The sequence below is a fragment of the Homo sapiens genome, chromosome 18 (genome assembly GCF_000001405.40).
Source record: "Homo sapiens chromosome 18, GRCh38.p14 Primary Assembly".
In the NCBI taxonomy this organism is placed as follows: domain Eukaryota; kingdom Metazoa; phylum Chordata; class Mammalia; order Primates; family Hominidae; genus Homo; species Homo sapiens.
Genome location: NC_000018.10, coordinates 53,042,724 through 53,066,475, shown reverse-complemented (window position 1 = coordinate 53,066,475; position 23,752 = coordinate 53,042,724). Strand labels below are relative to the sequence as shown.

Genomic DNA, 23,752 nt, shown 5'->3' with positions numbered 1-23,752 from the left:
TATTCATGATGACTTTATCTCATTGGAGATTTTATATATATATATATATACACAAACACACACATACACACATGCACATATATATATATATATATATATATATATATATATATATATATATACACACATGTACACACACAATTTTCTAGAGGGAAAATGTCATCAATACACAAGTATACACCTTAATTAACTAAATGATTTCATATTGCCATATTGCCCTTGAGGGGTAGGAAAAACAATATGGATTTTACCAACAGACTATGAATAATTTTCATTCCAGGTACCAAAGCAAGGTTCCCATTGTCTTACCAGGCTTAGGGACAATGAGCTGTGCACTGGTCTGGGCATTTCCAGCCTCATTTTCAGCCACACATTGATAAAAGCCTTCATCTGACTTCACCACCCCAAGTATCCGTAAGTTGCTTCCTCCCTAGGGAAAAGAAAAAGCAGGTAAAGTATTTTAGAAAGCAAAAAATGCAAGGTGACAAAATGAACTTAGATGAGACCAAAGTTTGATAAAACAGCACAGAAGAAACAAGAGGAGAGGCCATGAGGGGTCTCAGCCTCGCAGACGTGTCCTATGCCACCTGGGAAAAGTCATACCTTCCCAATTTTCTTTTCTGAATTCACAGGCATCAGTTTAACCTAGATCTGCATTAAATAATATGCTGACAAAAATATGCACCATCCTCAATACCTAAATGAGCAGTCAACAGACAAGTATTTTATTAATTATAGAAGCAACAAAGATTACCATGAAAAGAAATCTCATTCTTTTACTTGTTATTGAAGGAAGTTCAGGTTTAGTAGCTGCTCAGGAAAAAAAAGAAAGGGTATAAATACTGGTATTTGTGAATTCTAAAGGACAAGAAATCAAAGTTGGATATTTTCTGGAAGCGTTTGCCCAGAAAAATATCTAAAAATTCTTTAAATATTGTGATGGCTTTGACATATAAGCTTTTGGGGTTTGGAGAGGGGAGTATGGTGAATATTTTACACCCATGTGGTTCTTATTGTATGGCTGAAATGTTTCACCTTTATAGATTAAATACAGCAACATTAACTCCTTTTATTTAGAAATTGAGCCACCATCTTTTTCAAGGATGGATGATAAAATGATCTAGAGATAGCATTTAATTATACTAATTCAGTTTATCTTCGATATTAGTGTAAGAATTAGTTAAGTAAGTGAAACGTGTTAAATCACCTCCCCTGAAGTCATTAAGAGATAAATATTACCTCATGGGGAATTCTTAATTGTTTTTAGTGTCTTGTAATCAATTCCTAGCTGATGTAAAATTCTTTGATAAAACTGGCTAACTTCTAATTAAGAATTTTCATATAACTTACTATTTGTGCTCAATGTTAAGTGTGTGACAGAAAATGGCTCTCAAATTTCTGGAGCTGTTGAGGAAATATTTTTAAGCACAATTTAATGCAAATCGGGCAATACCTTACATTTTCTTTCACCTATAAAAGAAGAATTTAAATTGGTTGGCTGTAATGAGTCATGCTGGGAGAAAGATTATATTCAAAATGTAGAAAAAAATAAATGTTGCCTTTTACAATACGTCCTTAAGGGCACTGAAAAATGTCCTTTAAGTGTAAGTAGCATATATTTTAGGCGTATACAACACTTTTTAAAGTGCCCATTGGCAGATCATTTTTAATTCAGTGGTAGTGGAAATAACATCGCCTTTAAAGGAAATAATGGATCACTGTGGCATTTAAAAGTTAAAATTTTATCTTTCTTACTCTATTTCTAACCAATTAAACAAATGCAACTAAAAGTGAAAAATAATAAGTGGTAATAAAAGTGATAAAATGTCCTTTATGGATGTATTCCTTAAGAACCTTTATAGTAGGCCAACATGCATGCACACAGATATTATGAAAGTTTCTGAAAGTCGACTGATTGTGGAAGAGGCACTTTGCAACAAAGGCCATTGTAATACGATGGAGAGAGCTTGTGTCTGGACTCATAGGATGACTATGCTCTAGTCTCATTCTGCCCAGGAGACCTGGCTAGATTACAGCTCTTTGAAAGTGTCATGTCTGCATCTCAAACATAAGTAGGCCTAAAACCCTCTTCTGTAGCTGCAAGTTCTTTGTTATTTGAAAAGAACTTTACATCGCTCTCATATATTCATATACCTAAAATCAGAACCTCCAATGCTAACCTATACCTATAAGTGAGATTTCATAGAGCATTTCCAAATGAGACAAGCATTCTGCCAGTAACAGCAAAAGCTACAATAATGGAAGGTATTGAGCACTCCATGTGTACCAGGCCAACAACTCAGTGAATAGAGTACCACTATCCCTATTATCTCCCACAATAGGGATAGAAAATGAACTAAAACTTATAGTAAACCATAGAAGTTATTCCTCTTAGCTTCAATTCATTCCAGTATTGGAAATTACAAAGCAATGTGTACTCTGGTTCTTCATGGCCTATGACTGCAGCCACCAATGCCACCAGCACCCACTGTCCTCATTACCACATCACCACTGCCTTTCTCAATGGCTCATGTAGGATAAGCTGGTCCTACAGGGCAGGGTAGGAAAAAAAAGCTGTCTGTATTACCAAGTGAAGACTTCCATAATCATAAGTATCATATCTTATAAAACTGTATTAAAATGGGTAAAAGTCAAAGAAGTAAGGGATTCTTGGCTTAAGTCTAGAACTAGGTTCTAAACTCTCTTTGATAAACCAGCAGTGAAACTGTGAAACTACTCAGAAATACTTAGGCTGTCTGTATTTCATTTATTTTTGTTTGTTTGTATGTTTTAAAGTCTTGTCTGTAAAACCAGGGGGCTGAATTCTTTGATCACTCTTTCTCAGTTCAAATATTCTTATGTCTAGAAAATCATTTGCTTTATTTGAATAACTTTTTTAACACATCACAAAAAATCTCCAACAGGAACCTTTTTTTTTTTCAAGAAATAAAAACAAGTGAAAAAAATAGAAAACAATGAATGGGATTATAAAACAAATATGAAACAAAATAATTACCACTATCTGAAAATAATCACTAGGAATGACCACATCTCCATTCTTCATCCAATTCACAGTGGGCACAGGCTTTCCAGAGACTGTACATTCAAACTCAATATCCATGCTTTCATAGGCATACAGGTTGGAAGGATGATTTAAAAACCATGGCGGAACTGCAAAGACAGAAAAAAAAAAGTGAGTGAGTGGGTGGGGATGTGAACTTGCATGCTGCTGAGGTCTTCACTGAGTTTAAAACACTGCTCTGGGATAGAAAATATTTATAATTCAAATCATTCCCTAAGCTCTTAGCTTATTATACAGGAACTATTATAAAACAAATCTTTTGTTCCCCCAAATGCAGTTAAACAGTTGCAGTTAGTGGTGTTCTGCCACAAGGAAAGAAAAAAGGAAACACTTTTTGGAAAAAAAAAACATACATAATAAACATTCTGAATATCCATGTGTTATGTACCCAATTGACTTACACACTGAAAAGTACATAAGTCTTTGGAAACTATTCTGATAAAGTAAAGAAAGGGAAGCTGGTGGAACTGAGACAACCCAGAGGATAAGATAAGAAAGCTCAGTTGTCCTGTAATTCTAGAGTTTCATTAGGATTAATGTGATGGACTCATTTTCTGTTGAAACTGGCTATGGTGATAGGGAACTACACAATGCCTATATCATCTTTACTGTGGCCACATTCTTATTGTCTTAGCAATTATCTACTGTAGTGTATTACTATACTGTATTATAATTTTCACAGCATGGCATGTGATATACTAATTTAATTCCATTTCTTAATTATCGTAACACTAGTTACTCTATGATGGAAATTTGCAATTGAATGAAAATTATAAATATAACACATCTTTGCTAATGACTTGGCTCAGGCTTAGCCCACAAAACCTTGCCTAGGAGAAAGAAATTCTAAAAATTAATGTTTATTCTCTTCTGTGGGGAAACTTAAGAGTGACATCAGATTTAAATATTATATTGACTGAGAAGCCAGATTAAATTCACAGTGAAGTAGCAGCCGTGATCTGTTTCACATAGAAAATGGATAGGTATTTTTAGTAGCCATTACCAAAGGTAGACTGTGTTTTTGTCATTTTTGTTATGCTCAGTGAGTGATGAGTGCTAATTTTTTGCCTAAGTAGCTGCTGTATTTTGCTCTTTCTAACAGCCATCAGAAAAACTTTCTCCTGACACCAAAGCTAATGTCCAATCTTTGATGGCCATTGCCTTCTAGAAAAATAAAAGAGCTGGTAAAAACTCTCAGGATTTAAGTCCTGATTTTTCCTACTGAATGATCTCTCTCTTTCTTTATTATTTCCCTGATTAGTAACTAAATAATATTTGGACCTCTAAACAACTTGGCTAAAATTATTTATTAATTATTGATGATATTAGTATAAGGCTTTTTTGATTCCTTAGTCAAATTCACTGACAATAAACCAAAAGATATCAGAAATATTACTTGAATACCTCTGAGCAGAAGTATTAGTTGAATATATGGAAACAGTTCCATTCTGCTGTCTGTTTTCCCAAAGACTTTGGTCAAGGGTTCATTTAATACCCAATGCCAAACATTTATTGAGAGCTGACAATGCAGAGTTTATTATCCTAAGCCCTTTATATTTATTATTATCTCTCCCACTACCTGAAGCAGGTTCTATTATCCCCACTTTACAAATGGAGAGATTGAAGTACAAGGTGTTTAAATAACTTTCCCCAAATTACACAGCTTGTAAATTATGAAGCCAGACAGTCTGATTCCCTGCCTATGTACTAAAGTGATTTGCTATAACTGTCTCTTTTGCCACTTGAAACTTCTGGCAGAAAGATACTGCAATAATACTTCCAGAGCCTGAGAGATAATTGTGATAAGCAATTAGAGTCATTAAATAAAATCACCTTTCTAACCCTCCTTTCCCTTTATTATTTAAGTTCTTCTTTCCTGGTACCATAAAAGTTACCTGAATCTATCCATCCTTTCTGTTTCTGAAATCATTATGTCTACATTAGAGTTTTTCAAAATTTGGGTCACATCCATTAGAACTTGAAATCAATTGACTGGGTTGAGACTAAAATTTAAATATATACGTTTACGTATGTATACAAACACACACACAGAGAGAGAAAGAGAGAGTAGGAATAGAAAGGATTAGGAATATAGAGGGAGAAGAGAAAGGGAGAGAAGAGAACACCAAATTTATATTGAAGAAGAGAAAAGAGAAGTTTCAAGAGCCCAAATAATGGAGCCAGATTGGGCTGGATTTAAATCTCAAGTCCTTCTCTCACTGCGAGTGCCTCTGTTACTATCCTCATCTATAACCTCGAGATAAGAATTGAGAATAATGACAGTTAATGTTTGCAAATAACAGTGCATAATTGCATGATAAATAAAATAAATGCAAAAATATATTACAATACATCACTGGTAGCAAACATAATTATTGTATGTAACTATACTAAAATACATAAATGTGGTATGTCTGTTTATGTGTATGTATGTAGCCTCTTGCTTTTTTTCAATTTTGTTATTTCCTTATTCTCCAATTAGAGTAGTTTTCTATATTCTCAATGTCAAAAATAGTGTGCTCTACATAACAGAATTTCTCAAAAAACAAATGATTGAGTTTAAGTGATTGCTGTTTTCTAACAGTTTCACACAGATTCACTGTTTTTCCAACTTGGGGTTGTAGGACTCATTTTCCTGTTTATTATCTCTCAATGGAACTAAATAAAGCAAAGCTGATCACGTAGTGAATCCCTAAAACCTTCTCTTACATTGATTAATAAAATAGAGTGATTTCTGATTAACCAAGGGGAAAATAATCTGATTTAGCCGTATTATTATAGTTGTAATATTGTTAAGTACCACAGGGATGCCTCAACAATTATTTCCTGATTACAAACGTATATGTGAGTTCTAATCTATATTTTGTAATTTTCTCATATTTCTTAGGCTTCCGTCATCACACTGGACACCTTGTCTTCTCTGGCTATCTTGATATCTTTATTTCTATTCAGATTCTCTAACTTTCACAGTATATCAGACAGCAGGCAAGGGAAAAAATAACTTTTCTCACTTAAATGGGGAGTTGAAGTACCAAACAGCAATATTGTGAATCAGAAATGAGTCTAAGTCTAACCAGGTACTGTGGCTCAGCCACACTTTGGGAAGCAGAGGTGGGCAGATCCCTAGAGGCCAGGAGTTCAAGACCAGCCTGGCCAACATAGTGAAACCCCATCTCTACTAAACAGCAGCAACAACAACAACAACAACAGCAACAAATAAAAATAAGCCAGGTGTGGTGGCACATGCCTGTAATCCCAGGTATTTGGGAGGCTGAGGCATGAGAATCGCTTGAATCTGGGAGGTAGAGTTTGCAGTGAGCCGCTATTGTGCCACTGCTCTCCAGCCTGGGTGACAGAGCAAGGCTCTGTCTTAAAAAAAAAAAATGAGTCTAAGTCTCATGTTTTCTGAAATATACTGTCTATTAGGCAGTGTTATCAGTCATCAGTGGACTATATCATAAAGACAAGGGCTAAGGATTTTTCTCCATATCTCAATGCCTAGTACAATGCCTCATCCTTAGTACATGCTCAACAAAGATTTGCTACTGATGCCAATAAAAAACTCAAGCAACAAAATGCATATTTTCATCCTTTGCTGTGGCAATATTGGTAGAAGATGAGTAGAAGAAGTTCGGATAATGCCATGGAAATGATATATCTACAAAATAATATTATTTTCTTGTCATAAAAAAGTCAATTAATGATAAGAAAAAATAAAGAGTGAAGAATGAGGTACCATGACTATTTAGAGAAAATAACGGGTATTGATTATTTTAGAATACTTTTCAGAAATATTAAAGCATATCTTCCAAGTTCGCTGAGCAAAAGGAATTAAAATACTTACATAACATGGGAGAGGGTCTTAAAAAGGTCTAAACATACAGGCTTGGGTTGGATTAGGAATTAGGTTAAAGCTCTTCTGCCTTTCTTTTAAATAATACATGACCAAATTACTGCTTACTTGTTAAACTTATCATCCACACGTGACTTACATATACCCCATGGCTCAATGAAACAAATGACCCTTTTCTAATTCTAAGTCTTTGTAAATTCTATTTTCTCACCCTGAAATGTTTACTGTTTCACTCTATAATATATACACTGATACAGTTTGGCTACGTCTCCACCCAAATCTCATCTTGAATTATAGTTCCCATAATCTTCACATGTCATGGGAGGGAACCAGTAGGAGGTAATTTAATCATGGAGACAGTTACCCTCGTGCTGTTCTCATGATAGTGAGCGAGTTCTCACAAGATCTGATGGTTTTATAAGAGGCTTTTCCCCCTTTGGCTCCACACTTCTCCTTGCTGCCACCATGTGAACAAAGACATGTTTGCCTCCCCTTCCACCAAGACTGTAAGTTTCCTGAGGCCTCCCCAGCCATGCTGAACTGTGAGTCAATTAAACCTCTTTCCTTTATAAATTGCCCAGTCTCAGGTATGTATTTATCAGCAGCATGAGAATGGACTAATACAGACACCCTACCTATCCTTCATGAGGCTACTTCTCCAAGAAGGATGTCCTGATTTTTTCTTGAAAAATTTTCTCTCCTTTTGGAAACCCTGTGGTATTTATTTTAAGACTTGGTTTCTTCTGCACTGTATTTATTTGTGCATGTGCTTTATCTTGACACTAGTATGTGACTTCTCAGTGGAAGTGGCTCTATCAGGCTAACATGAAATCAATATGTAACTGAATATATTTTTGATGATTACACTATTCTGCAAGGCAGCAGACAAATAAAGTTTACCCAATTTTCCCTTTTTTGATCTCTGTTTTTTTCTCAGTGATGATCAGACTAGGATCTGGGATCTATTTGTCCCATTTTGGGATTGCTTCCTAGAATTTAGGATCAAAGTATAATCATGTTATACTATTCACAGCTCTGGAGTCCTATATTCTCAACACAAATTGATAAAGTCATCTCTAATTAAAGGGTAATGGGAAGTACCATTTTAAAAAATTATGAGAAAACTTTCATTATACCACTTCTGTTCTCAAAATGTTGTCAATGAGCTTTCAATGTCCACAGAATAAAGACCAAGCTTGTAACTTTATATTTAATAACTCAGAGGTTAAAAACTTCCCTGCTCAAATCTTATTTTTTCTCATTCCTTTTCTGTAGAAATCATTTAATCTACTTAAACTAATTCTACTTGCTATTAAAACAGGATATAATAGTTAAAATGGCTCTTTAGGATGATTTAATATAATTGTTTTATTTTACAGATAGAAAAACTGACTAAAGAGTGAATATGATTCATCAATGGCCATGGATATATTTCTTCAGCACATTTCTGGCCATGGATTTCTGTCTGGAATTGCATTCCTCAGATGTTATATGTTCTATTTATTCTCCAAGAAGCAGCTCACATATCCCTTTTCCATAACGTTCCATGAAGCTGAGAGTAGCTTTCTTCTGCTTCTTGCAGTGGTCTATCTCTGTGGTCAACTTTTACACTACTTATTATATAAGTTATCTTTCACATATATCACTATTTACCAACCAGATTAAGGTTCTTAAAGATGGAGCCTGAAGCATATGTTTGTTTGTTTTTTAAATCCCTTTGCACATTACGCTTTCTCCCACTTCTGTGGAAGGACTCATTTCACTACTTTAGGCTTTTTGGTTGGCAGCAATTTCCTAATGACTAATAAAAGTACCATGAATTTTTAAGTTTATCAAATTGTTCCATTTACATAGTATTAGTCCATTTCAGAGAAAAGCTTCATACACATGTACAATGTTTCAAGAATTTCAGGCAAGATATTGATTTCAGTTGTACTTTCCTTCTCTGGAATAAAATAAAATCCATGGCCAGAAATAAATTGTCCACATTTCCATCAGATCTGGGTTTCCTAGGACCTTTGCAAGTACTTCTAGTATATACATAAAGAATCATTTTTATGGGGGGCTGAGACAAGGAATCCCAACCAAAACTAATAAGTGATAGAAATGTAGAAAAAATATAATTCTGTTTTTTAAAAGTGTTTATCATATTTAGAAAGGTATAATACATAAGGGAGACTTCCAGACTGCAATTGTTAAGAGTTGTACAGGCAAACCTTAAATTTGGGTAAAAGTTTTCTTTAAATTTATCTGTTTTTCTTTTTAAACGTTTCTATGCCATGACTACCCATTTGAATTCTGTACAATGAAATTTCTTCTGTGATTTGAGCTCCAAACAAAGTCATCATCAACAGCTTAAATAGTATTATGGGTTTTATTTCGCATAATAAATGCCCATAAGTATTTTCAGCAACACCCCATATAGGTGAAGACTTGCTTTTTTTTTTTTTTTTTTTTTTTTACTTTTAGAAGTTACTTAGCTATTCAGCTATTCTTTTCCAGTTACTTAGGTATGTAATAAATATGGGTCAATTTTAAAATATCACTGTAATATATATAGTATTCTCTGCATTATCTGAACTTTGAAAACACTATATTCCAAAGAATTACCACAGCTCTTTGAAATGACAAAGAATGCATTTTTAAAACCATGCAGTTGGTTTAAATTAACAATAGGCAGCACAAACCACTCTGGTGACTGAACAACACAAACTGAGTAAAAAACCAGATTGATGAACAGATTTTATTAGGAGAAAAAAAAATAACCATAATCTTTGAGTGGCTGTGATTCTGCCCTGAGAACAGTGGAAAGCCAGCTAGTTTCCCTGGAGCCATGTGCCTTTGGACTTCATTTGTTCATTTTTGTTGAAATACTGGACATAATAAGGCCATTAATCTTCTCTGGAATGCATATATTTGAAAAGACTAATCACACCAAATGTCTAGGATGAGTTTGCTGCCAAATTGGGCTACCTCTAAATCCAAAACAAATGGGTTATTTCAAGTGCAGTATCAAAATAGTATAAACAGATAATTTCACTTTAAGGAGCCATTGTTTCACATGCAACCACATTCAGATTACTACGAAGGAAGCCATCTGGCATTGAATGCAGGTTTGGAGATAACATATTGGTGTGGTTTAGCTCTGTGTGCCCACCCAAATCTCATCTCGAATTGTAATCCCCGTGTGTTGAGAAAGGGATCTGGTGGGAGATGACTGGATCATAGGGGCAGTTCCCCCATGCTGTTCTCATGATAGTGAGTTCTCAGGAGAGCTGATGGTTTTAAACTGTGGCACTTCCTGTCTCCTGCCGCTTTGTGAAGACATGTATCTAACTTCCCCTTTGCCTTTCGCCGTGATTGTGAGATTCCAAAGGCTTCCCCAGCCATGCAGAACTGAGTCAATTAAACATTCTTTTCTTTATAAGTTACTCAGTCTCAGGTAGTACCTTTATAGCAGTGTGAGAATGGACTAATACACCTAAGAGGAAAAATATTCTTTATAAATACAAGCTTCCATGTTAAACATACCTTAACAAAATTCTCATTCTAGGTAACGGTATTTCTAAGAGACTTGTCAAGTGTGAGATGAGAAATGCAACCCGATAGTTTCTATTCTTCCTGCACCAACTTTTGTTGCCAAAGTAACTTGTATTTGGCTAACTTGATCTTTAAATGCATACTCCTTCCTTCCCCTCTTTTTTAAGGAAGGTGCTGTGATGATGCATCTTCTGTCCTATTCAGAGCTTCTCTCCCGGCCTTTTCTTACGTGACAAGTGACTTGAAGTCTGCTTAATATTTCTCTCTAGTTTACTTTCTCCTACCTACATATCTGTACTCTCTCATAGGATTGGTTGTTGAGATTTGCATTTGATTCTCCATACGAGTGTCTCTCACACATACCTGACTATACTGTCTAAACATTTAGGTTAAGTTGGTTTCTAGCCTTAAGAGAGTAGAATGTATTACACGTTGGAAATAAAAGCATACTTAAGTTACATTCTATTAATAATGAATGGCCCTTCTACTGTACTAGAAAAATGGATTTCAAGGTATGGATTTCATTCTAAGCATTTTCTATTCCAAAAGATGTTTCAATCTCATCTGGCAGTGATTATTTCCATGATGAGGGGAATGTGCTTGGGTGCTCTGACAATTTCTGGAATATGTATTAACTTTTTTCCTGACACAGGTGTAAGCCCAAGTGGGATATTTACTTTTATACATGTTTTCTCAAATGAAAGTAAATATATTATTACTGAAAACCACATGACAGAAAAGCAGTTGGTTCTACAGCAATTCATCCCATTGTGGCATCAATCTGGATATGAATTCACTAAGCTACTAACGCCTTAAGAACATGGATTGTCTTATTTATCTTTGTGTCCCCAAGGCCAAGCATGGGATAGGTGCTTCATAAATATTTATAGATGACCAGGCATAAGTGTAGTTCAGTCCTCAACGGCAAATCCCTTGGCAATCAGTCATCTTCTGGCTGCAGATGAGTAATCGCTTTGGAAAATCTAAGCGGGGAACAACATTTAAGATATAAGGGGATTCTTTTATTCTAAAGTTCATACCAATTGCACCTATAGAATATTAGGACAAATAGTAAGCTATTCTGCTATCATTGGCAATGACAATATTTTAATAATCCTAGAGAAATAAAATGTTAGACCTTTGAATTTTATTTTCAAACCCTAATAGTATACTTCTCGTGAGCACAATTTGCTGAGAAACACTTCTATCTAAAAATTCAGCTGTATGTGCTGTGGGAATGAAGAACATTTAGTGTCCTTCATATATGCTAGGAAACGATTCTAGATCTCTCCACACAATTTTCTTTAGCCAGACAAATAATCCCATTGCCCTTCCTTAGTTCCAGCTCTTCCTGTAATCAGAGTTGCTTCTTTCTAAATCCAGACTAAGCTTTCCATCTCTCTAATTGTGGAGCCTAGGATCAAACTGAGAGCACAATTTTGTGAGGTTCAAGCCTGTGATAATAATAATGGGAGGATTATCTCTGGGTCCAAATTCTATATACTTACTGACATTATTGCTACGCTTTTGTTAATATAGTGGCTGGAAATAATTCATGTGCTATTGATGGCTTTTGATAGTTATTGGCAACTCTCCAACAATTAAGCTTGCGTGTGTGTGTGAGCCTACATATACACACATATTTATATTTATATATATATTCTCATATGAGATAATTTTATACATTCTCTAATGAGAATTAAGATTTTATATAGCTGGTCCTTCATATATATCTGTGGGTTCTACAGTCAAGGATTCAACCGACTGCAGATAAAAAAATAACAATACAACTATAAAAAATAAAATATGTAAATGCAGCTTAATAACTATTTACACAGCATTTACACTGCATTAAGTATGAGTAATCTAGAGATGATTTAAAATATATGGGAGGATTGACGTAGGTTATATGCAAATATTACAACATTATATATCAGGAATTTGAGCATTCACAGATTATGGTATCTGCAGGAGATCCTAGACCTAGATCCTATCCCCCACAAATACTGAGGGACCACTCTTCTTCTATATAAAATATATGATCACACAGAATAAAGTGTCCTGCACACACATAGACTCACACAAATATATATCCATACATATACAATTGATAAACGTCTTTCTTTGTCGAATTTTCTGTTTTAGCTGTGAACTAAATGAGACCATGTTAAGGAAAACAAGATTTAAGTGTTAAATCATGTGTGTTGTTTGATGCCACAAATAATAAATATCCAAAATAAATTATCCTGTTCCCAAACAATGCATACTGACAGAAATTTGAGAGCTATTATTTTTCCTCAGTCAAATATTTTCTAGTATTCCCTGTTGGTATTTGAGAGGAAAAGATGTGGCTATTCTAAAAGCGTAGAATAAATGTTTCTGTCATGCATGAGAACTATTTCTCTGTCTTTTTAACTGCATTACAGAAGTACACTAAAACATAATAGAAAATTTGTTTTTCCCATTTCTTATTAGTAGATTTTCTATGAGGGAATGGTAGATTATAACACATAACTGAATTTCCCTCTCTTAATTCCTAATGAAATAAAAAGTAAATCCTAGTATATACATCGACACATAAAAATCACCCACAGCAGTCAAAGAATGAAAAGAAAGCATAGCAATAGCAAATAAAAACAACAAAATCAAAACAAGTGTTTCTGGAGTAAAACAGAAAAAGGATTTACTTTCTTATCTTCCCTTAAACCCCAGAAATTTTCCTGAAATTTGGGGGAAAGTCTAAGAATTCTCACTAACACCGCCGAACATCAATGAATGCAAAATTATGAATAGCCCCAAGTTTTCCTTTTCTTTTCTGTTGTTTTGTTTTGTTTGTTTGTTTGTTTTTGATTTTGTTTGAGATGGAGTCTTGCTCTGTTGCCCAGGCTGGAGTGCAGTGGTTCGATCTCGGCTCACTACAACCTCCACCTCCCAGGTTCAAGTGCTTCTCCTGCCTCAGCCTTCCGAGTAGCTGGGATTACAGGTGCACACCATCACGCTCTACTAATTTTTGTATTTTTAGTGGAGACACGGTTTTGCCACATTGGCCAAGCTGGTCTCAAACTCCTGACCTCAAGTGATCTTCGCACCTCAGCCTCCCAAAGTGCTGGGATTAGGCATGAGCCATCGTGCCTGGCATTTCCTTTTCTGATTGAGAAGAAGTTGCAATTACTGTTGAGGAGACACACAGGGGATGGAGGTTGGTTTGAGTAAGGTAAGGCTTATGGACCATCAATGAAATGAACAGCTAATTGGAAACTTGAGAACAGCCCCTTCTCCCACAAACAAGAGTAGGAGACAGTACTAGCCAGCAAAGCTAGGTATCCTAAATGAGTTTGAATGCTGCTTCAACTAAACTCATTCCCCTACCATGCCTGGTTATTTAAAAGTACACAAAACGTGAAACATCCAGACTTCAAACTGGAGCTTAAGGGATCCCAAGAAGGATGACAAGTAAGTCTAGAAGTAACCTATACTACATTAGAGCAAGTAGAATGTCTGGACAGTGCCACTCCCACATGATCAAGATAAAAGACAGGCATAGTAAATATAGAAACATAATACAGCCAACAATAATGCAAAAGAGTGAAAGAAAAAGGGGGGATGGGGAGGGAGGAAGAGAAGAGAGAGATTTAATTTAAGAAACAAAGAACTTAATCCAGAAGAAAATATAGGGTAGAGACACAAAGAAATTTTTCAAGTTGCTTCACACAATGGATTCATTTAAAATGAAAATAAATTCAATAGAGCTAGAGGTCAAAGACTGGAGGATAAAACAACAGAATTAAATGAAAAGGGAGTTAGTGGACCTAAGGAAATGAATCAAGGACCAAAACAACATCATTATATAACTAATACATAAATTAGAAAGTACAAGTCTCATAATAGATGCCACCAAATATCAAATTACCAACATGTATCAGACTCGATATCATCAGAGTGAATGTAAATGAGAAGGGTGAAGGAATTAAAGTAATTAGGGCTGAGTTTGTACAAAAAAAAAGAGTACAAAGAAAGATGATGCAGTATTAAAATAACTGGCATTCCTGATGCCATAAGCCCACAAATGGGACAGAATATATATTCAAAGTTAAAGAATAGGATACTTTTCTGGGAAAATAAATTTTCAGATTGAAAGACTGTGTTTCCGGGAAACTGAGTACATAAATCTCAAAAGATAGAGATATATCTTATTTAAGATACAAGATGAGGCGTAAAGATATATAAGATATAAGATGAAGAGTAAATTATTTGAACATCCAGAAAGAAAAACCAAAATCAAAACACATCTACAAGAAGTGAAAGGGAATCAGATTTCCATATGATAATATCCAATATCAGAATACAATGGAGTAATGTTACCCAAGAATATTATACAGAATCTTTTATATACAAATCCACTTTGTCAATTATGAAAAGTGCTCAGGAAATACAGCACTTTCTAGAATAAACCTAACAACAAAATCTAAGCAATTAAGAACATCAGCCACCCAGTTAGGCATTGTAGTAAAATAATTGGTGGTATGTTTTGAATATGGTTATATATAGAAATAAAAGTAAACACAATGGAAATAATGGTTACTGAAAAGAATTCCATCATTATAAACCTGAACAGGGTGAAACAAATACTTTAGATACTAAAGATCCAAAGGTGGGCAAATGAGAGGAGGAATGAGAAGGTAAATCTGCTATGAGAGATGTTCTTTTTCAGCAGGGACTTCATCAATTATGCCCTTGAATAAAAACATGAACATGTATGTATTTATTTATTTAGACACAATGTCTCTCCATTGCCCAGGCTGGAGTGCAATGGTATAATCATGGCTCACTGCAGCCTCGACCTCCCAGGCTCAAGTGCTCCTCCCATGTCACTCTCCTGAGTAGCTGAGATTACAGGCGCACGCCACCATGCTTGGCAAATGTATTTATTTTGTTTTAGAGATGGCATCTACTATGTTGCACAAGTTTGTCTTGAACTTCTGGGCTCAAGCAGTCCTCCTGCCTCAGCCTCCTAAAGTGCTGAAATTACAGGCATAAGCCACTATACCTGGTCTGAAAGTTTTTGTTTTTTTGGAAAACTGCCTCTGGAAGTAAACATGCCAAGGTGAAAGTGTTCAATGGTTATGCAAGTATAGATATATCTCTTTTCCTTTTTGCATTTAAAAAATTTCCAAGCCATTCCTATTCAACATAGTACTGGAGGTCCTGGCTGGAGCAATCGGGTAGAAGGATAAAATAAAATGTATCCAAATAGGAAGAGAAGAATTCAAGCTGTCCCTATTTGTGGATAACATGATTCTATATTTAGAGAACCCCAACGTCTCTGTCCAAAAGCTCCTTGATCTGATAAACAACTTCAGCAAAGTTTCAAGATACAAAATCAATGTACAAAAATCAGTAGTATTCCTATATACCAACAACATCCAGGCCGAGAGTCAAATTAGGAACACAATCCCATTCAGAATTGCCACAAAAAGAATAAAATTCCTAGGAATACACCTAACCAGGAAGGTGAAAGATCTCTACAACAAGAATTACAAATCGCTGCTGAAAGAAATTAAATATGACACAAAAAAATGGAAAACATTCCATGGTCACGGATAGGAAGAATCAGTATCATTAAAATGGCCATATTGCCCACGATGGATAAGTGTCAACTTGATTGGATTGAAGGATGCAAAAAATATTGTTTCCGGGTGTATCTGGGTGTTTCTGGGTGTTAACAGAAGAAATTAACATTTGAGTCAGTGTACTGGGAGAGGAAGACCCACCCTCAGGAAGACCCATCCACAATGGGGGTGGGCACCATCCACTCTGCTGCCAGCGTGGCTAGATAAAGCAGGCAGAAGAAGGTGGAAGAAGCTGACTTGCTGAGTCTTCTGGCCTTCATCTTTCTCCTGTGCTGGATGCTTCCTGCCCTTGAACATCAGACTCTAAGTTTTTCAGCTTTTTCACTCTTGAACTTACACCAGTAATTTGCCAGGCGCTCTCAGGCCTTTGGCCACAGACTGAAGGCTACAAAGTTGGTTTCCCTACTTTTGAGGTTTCTGGACTCGGAATGAGCCACTGCTGGTTTCCTTGCTCCTCAATTTGCAGATGGCCTATTGTGGGACTTCACCTAGTGATCATGTGAGTCAGTTATTTTTAATTAACTCCCTTTCATATATACGTCTGACCTATTCATTTCGTCCCTCTAGAGAACCCTGACTAGTACATTGCGCAAAGCAATTTATAGACTCAATGCTATTTCTATCAAACTACTAATCATATTTTTCACAGACTTAGAAAAAAAAACTATTTTAAAATTTACATGGAACCAAAAAAGAAAAAGAGCCTAAATAGCCAAGGTAATCCTAAGCAGAAAGAACGAAGCTGGAGGCATCACATTACCCAATTTCTAACTATACTACAAGGCTACAGTAACCACAGCAGCATGGTACTGGTACAAAAGCAGACACTTAGACAAATAAAATAGAATAGAGAGCCCAGAAATAATGCTGCATACTTACCACCAGTTACTACTACTACAAAACAACATGACAAGCAAAGGGGAAAAGACTCCCTATTTAATAAATGGTCCTGGAATAACTGCCTAGCCATATGCAGAAGATTGAAACTGGACCCCTTCCTGAAGCTATATACAAAAATCAACTCAAGATGGATTAAAGACTTAAATATTAAACCTAAAACTATTTAAAAACCTTGGAAGATAGGCTAGGAAATACCATTCTAAACATAGGACCTGGCAAAGATTTCAGGATGAAGAAGCCAAAAACAATTGCAATAGAAACAAAAATTGAGAAATGGAACCTAATTAAACTAAAGAGCCTCTGCATGAAAAGAAACTATCAAGAGAATGAACAGACAGCCTACAGAATGGGATAAAATATTTGACAAAGGCATAATATCTGACAAAGGCATAATATCCAGAATCTATAATGAACTTAAATTTACAAAAAAAATACTAAACAACCCCATTAAAAACTAGGCAAAGGACTTGAAAAGACACTGTTCAAAAGAAGACATACATACAGTCAACAAGAATATGAAAAAATGCTCAATATCACTAATCATTAGAGAAATGCAAATCAAAACCGCAATGAGATACCATCTCACACTAATCAGAATGACTATTATTAAAAAGTCAAAAAATAACAGGTGCTGGTGAGGTTGTGGAGAGAAGAAAATCCTTATACCCTGCTGGTGGAAATGTAAATTAGTTCAGCCATTATGAAGATTCCTCAAAGAGCTGAAAAGAGAATTGCCGTTTGACTTAGCAATCCCATCATTGAGTATATATCCAAAAGAATAGGTATATATATATATCATATATACATATATAAAAGAATGTGTATATATATATCACATTTTCTTTATCATATATCACATTTTTTATACATGTATGTATATACGTATATATATACACACACATACATATACACATATGCATATATATGTGTGTGTATATATGTATACACACACACACACACACACACACACACACACACACAAACCATGGAGTATTACACAGCCATAAAATAATGAGATCATGTCCTCTAAAGCAACGTGGATGGAGTCGAAGGCCATCATCCTTAGCAAACTAACGCAGAAACAGAAAACCAAATACCACATGTTCTCACTTATAAGCGGGAGCTAAACAACAAGAACACATGGACAGAAAAAACGGAACCACAGACGCTTGGGCCTTTTTCTGAGTGGAGGGTGGGAGAAGGGAGAAGATCAGAAAAAAAAAAATACCTATTGGGTACTGTCCTTATAACCTGGGTGATGAAATAACCTGTAAAACAAACTCCTGTGATGCAGTTTACCTACATAACAAACCTGCACATGTACCCCTGAACCTAAAATAAAGGCTTAAAACATCAACAAATAGAGACTCAGTATTCTCAAAACATAACTCAAAAGAAAAAGGCTATTTAAACAAAGATTTTAAAAATATGCCTTTAATAGTGTGGGGAAATGTCATTTTCCTAATTATAAATGAGCAAGCTAAGAGTGGCTGGCATATTATTATAACATTAAAAACAATTTTAAATACATAAACTATACACACACACACACACACACACACACACATCTCGAAGGAAAACACAAAAGAAAATAGTAGATCTATCCATTCATGTATTCAATTATGTATTAGTCCCATGTTCATTTTTCACAAGAGAAAAATAAGGCGTAGAGAGGTTAAGTACATTGCCCAAGGTCACAAAGTCTTTAGTGGTAAGCAGACTCCAGGCGTCTGTTACCTGGACTATGCCTCAGAGAGGTAAAGATTATCTCTCTGCTGTAATTAAAGCAATAGGTTCCTATCTCTATAGGCTTTGTGATGAGCTGAAAAAAAGCAATATGTCTGTGTAAAAGCTTGAGACTTGCAAAGTGAAATCCATTAACAAATATGATTTTACAATTGAAGGCAACGAAGGGTAGGGTCAGTTATTACAGATGTATTTCCAGACACGCAAGTATATATGACTTCTCAGTTTAATAAAAAAAAGATTCCTCAATAGCAAAAATGGTATATATATATATATATATATATATATATATATATGTAAAATATATAATACATAAAATATATAACATATTTTATATAATATATAAAGTATATATTATTTTATGTATAATATGTATTTCATATTATTATATATATAAAATTATATATATATAAAATTATATATATATATATAAAATTATATATATATATATATATATATATATATATATATATATATATATATATATATCCTACCTGCAGGGATGGCTCACCAGGATAGCCTTAAGGAGTAGGAGAATTCATTGGAAATTGTAAGAGCTTGTGTAAACAGCACATGAGTTATAAATAGTTGATAAACATATTTACCTTCCTTTTCTTTTTATCATATTTGTCCACTGGGGCTTGAAAACAATTCAGAGAAACTGTAGTTGCTGGTGACAAGCATATAAACCCTTCAGGGAGATCATGTGGAGAAAAGAACAACAGAATGTTTTCTACCTCAAATTCGGTGAAAGGAGAACAAACACAGGAAGACCTGGGAAAAGCCACTGCATTAAAAAAATGAAAGACAGGAGCTCTGACTCCCAGCTCTGGCTGTGTTGTAGAGAGAGTCACGGACTCTTTAGAGTAAGTCACTGAACTGTCCTGGATTTCGGTTTCCTATTTTGAAGATCTAGAAGGTCCAGAATACCTTCTGTAACTTCTCATGTTTGCAAACTCAAACATTACTGTGTCAAGTCACTGAACTTTTCTTGACTTCAGTTTCTTACTTTGTAAATTGAGAAGTTTGAACTGTAATCTGTGTTTTCAAGTTATGTGGAATTCCTTCAAGTGTTACTGTAGGTGGAGTGGTTCTTGTATTGCCTTTCCCAACTTTTTAACACTTTCCAGCAAATTAGTGTTATGTTGATCTCTTCTATATACTGACCTTCCACATTAATATAAAGTTCTATCAGAACATTTTCTGCTGCTAAAAAAAGTAAATTATCTGCAGGCTTTTTTTTTTCCAGTTTTAAAATTCTGAGTCTAACATGGAAGTATGTATGGGTAGTTCAATGCTATTCAGCTTGAACAATTCACATAAGGTTGATCTTGAAAGAATAGATAAAATTTTCACTTTGCTTTTTATTTTTTCACTTAATATTTGGCAAGCATTAATGCATTGCTTAAAACAATATATACCAACATTACCATCTCATGAAAATCACAGAAAGTGACTCAAAGGCAGTTTAAGGGTAATTAGTTCAACACCTTATTGAGAAATGACAGTATTTCTTTCAAATCAACACTTACTATGATGTATTTTTAGGATTACTTGGTGAAAGTCTAATTCCAGCATCGATTATATTCCAGCTTTGAGACTCTATTTGTCTTTTCATTCCTATATTTTGGCCAAAAGAGTGTTTAGTTATCTACCTGAAGATAACACGAGAGTTCATAGTAATTTCACTGCTTTATAAGTGAGGATTTCAAAAATCATGGAAAAAGCATTTGTATGTGTGAAACGGACAGGTTAGATTCATAAAATCTCACCACATGAGCCATCTACAAACTTGAATGGTTTCCTGCCCAGTCGATGAAAACAGTCTTTGACCATTTGCTGAATATTTAAAAGCCAAGGAGGAATGATTATAAAATTCATGTGTAATTCATAGTGGTAATTCGGAATAAAACATTTCTATTTCAAAAAGTTTATTTTAGTCGGGAAGAACTCTCATCGAACTTTAAAATGGAATGTATTAATGGGAAATGACAAAGGCATACATTAGACTTTTACAAAATAGCGAAATCTAGTGCATGTTTAACAGCAGGGCAAATCAAAAGAAGTCTAGGGATTTTCATTGACTATTAAGATTTCTACTCTTAAATCCCTGCCATCGGTCTTGCACTTTAGAGGACCTTGCATATTGTAAATAAACATATGCAGCATATGTATGTGTGTGTGTGCCTGTATGTATGTGCACATGTGTGTATTAAGCTATAGATGGCCACCTTTGTCATTTGGGATAAGGCAGTCAACTCAGACACAAAATAATTTGTAACCCTAAACATCTTCTCCTGTGACTAATACTCTTCAAGCCTCAAGGAAACACTTCTTCCTCTCCTCTATATCCATGAACTACAAGGGCCAAAAGTAAGGCTAACTAAGAATTGCTGTAATCTTACATTTTTGTCCTTGCATTTCAGACTGAAATCCTCTTATGCTTAAAATCTCATTGGAAAGGGTTGGAAAGAAAAGCTTGAGGAAATGTTTTATGTAATTCTTCCAGTTTTACAGAATCCTTTCTATACCTTCTCATTCTCTAAAGTATTTGCATAATTGTACTTACCATATTATTCATCAATTAAAGGAAAGCTTGTTAGAAAGCTTATAATCCATCCATTGATTCTGATTAAAAAACATGTGCTTCTCAGAAGCTTCTAAAATATCCCTGGTATATTTTCATACTTATCATTCATATTTACCTTGTTTGTTTCTGTATATACATTTTATATCTGTTCATATGTCAAACATAAGCAGTCACATTAATCAACACAAGACTTTGTGAATCATGCATACATATATATAGCTATAAACATCTATATTCTATAGCCATACTTATGCCCTTGAATGTTTTTGCACTCGTTGACATGCCTTTAACAAAAATGTAACCTGAAATATGAATACTCTTTCTACTATTGCATGCATATTTTTAAAGCTGGTACAAATTTTCTGCATTGTGAAAAGAAAAATAAATTTATTAATTTAGAAGTCAAGTTATGAGTTACTTAAGGAGTTGTTTTCTGTCTGGTTATTTTTTCTTTCTTAGTAAGCCTGAATTTCAGGTGGGGCAGAAATGTAGGCTGTAAGTACTTTGAGAAGAGAACCCTACTTAAGTATTTATTACTTTATATCCTAAAGTAATGAGCCCTGAGTAAATGCTAATTTGATTAATCAACTGGGAGCTATAAAGAGTCTTAGATATCTAGTCCATGCCTTATATTTTATGTACTAAAAAGTTAAGGGTAAATGGCTTATTTCTACGGCATCACACAGTTCATATATATCAGCAGCAATACTAGAACTCAAGCTTCCTGAATTTCAATCAGTGGCATTTCTCTTCTACCAAACTACATTTAAAAATACATACTATGCAAGTTATCAAAGCATTTCAATGGCCTGTGCAGTCACTTCATGATTCCTGAACAAGGAAATATTCATTTTTCTCTTTTTTCCAAACCAAAAAAGAGACTATCTTGCCTTTGCTTTATACATCAAGCAAACATGGAAGGCAAAATGGCACTGACTCCAAATTCTCTTCTTTCATGTTTTGAAGATGCTTCCCAGCAGACTATCTTGTTATTGTCCCTTTGAAAGGAGAAGATATGTTTCTTGTTCTCAAAGGTAATACCTCCTTATTAATTCTTCAATAATCCGGATATTAGTAGGCAAGAACAGTAATATCGAACTCTTTATGAAACATATTTGAAGCTGTCAGTGCCATTACCCATTAGATCTAGGGAAATACATTCTAGCATTTTTAGGCAATTTAAATTGATCCTTCTTTTTTCTTGGCATTCACAGGCACAGTAACAGTACTTTAATGGAAGAGTTAAATGGCATCACAGAATAGTGAGTGTGGTGTGTGAGGATAGCAGGGCTAGGTTTTTATTTATCCACAGAATTAATAGTTTACTAGGATTTCATAGTGCAAAAGTATCTAACTCAGAGTAATGAGATTGTTAAAGCATACACTTTAGGAAGAAACTATCTAAAACACAACTTTGCCATTCAGTGATGTCACATTTCCCTCTTAAAGTCATCTTTGAAATGTAACATGTTAACCAAATGACTTCCAAAACTCTCCTTTGGCAAAGAAAACTCATAAAGTGATCTGAAGTTCTTGGCCGTTTAAAAGGGCAATTTAATTGCTTATGGTGGTTTGCTTATTCAGGGAACTAGGCTTTGGAGAATAAAATGTCAGATGAGAAGTAATCTCCAAGGATTTCTTCCTGGTCCTCTTGTTTTTAATTATTTAATTTTTCATTATATTTTAAGTTCTGGGATATATGTGCAGAATGTGGTTTGTTACATAGGTATACATGTGCCATGGTGGTTTGCTGCACCCATCAACATGTCATCTACATTAGGTATTTCTCCTAATGTTATCTCTCCCCTTGCCCCCCAACCCCCAGCAGGCCCCACTGTGTGATATTCCCCTCCCTGTGTTCATGTGTTCTCTTTGTTCAACTCCCACTTAGGAGAACATGCGCTGTTTGGTTTTCTGTTCTTGGGTTAGTTTGGTGAGAATGATGGTTTCCAGCTTCATCCATGTCCTTGTAAAGGGCATGAACTCATTCTTTTTTACGGAGGCATAGTATTCCATGGTGTATATGTGCCACATTTTTTTTATCCAGTCTAACATTGATGGACATTTGGGTTGGTTCCAAGTCTTTGCTATTGTGAATACTGCTGCAATAAACATACGTGTGCATATGTCTTTATAGAAGAATGATTTATAATCCTTTGGGTATATGCCCAGTAATGGAATTGCTGGGTTGCTGGGTCAAATGGTATTTCTAATTCTAGATCCTTGAAGAATCCCCACACTGTCTTCAACAATGGTTGAACTAATTTACACTCCCACCAACAGTGTAAAAGTGTCCCTATTTCTCCACATCTTCTCCAGCATATGTTGTTTCCTGACTTTTTAATGATCACCATTCTAACTGGCATGAGATAGTATCTCATTTTAGTTTTGATTTGCATTTCTGTAATGAC

At 34.9% G+C, this 23,752-nt stretch overlaps 1 protein-coding gene across 5 annotated transcripts in view, besides 1 other annotated feature; it reads right to left on the bottom strand.

The window, feature by feature from the left end:
- The window catches only part of DCC (DCC netrin 1 receptor), a 1,195,703-nt gene that overhangs the window by 469,424 nt on the left and 702,527 nt on the right, over window positions 1–23,752 (bottom strand). For all 5 annotated transcript variants that reach the window (NM_005215.4, XM_017025568.2, XM_017025569.2 and 2 more), the window contains 2 exons: window positions 3,017–3,171; window positions 310–430 (listed from right to left, as the gene is read on the bottom strand). In NM_005215.4, the coding sequence (NP_005206.2) occupies window positions 310–430; window positions 3,017–3,171 (276 nt within the window). The remainder of the gene's footprint in view (window positions 1–309; window positions 431–3,016; window positions 3,172–23,752) is intronic.
- Window positions 9,907–10,510: an enhancer, noted in NCBI's record as "OCT4-NANOG hESC enhancer chr18:50582336-50582939 (GRCh37/hg19 assembly coordinates)". NCBI's record gives its function as "activates a minimal SCP1, AML or CMV promoter by ChIP-STARR-seq in naive H9 embryonic stem cells {active_cell/tissue: H9 hESC(naive)}" and the evidence as "EXISTENCE:reporter gene assay evidence [ECO:0000049][PMID:30033119]".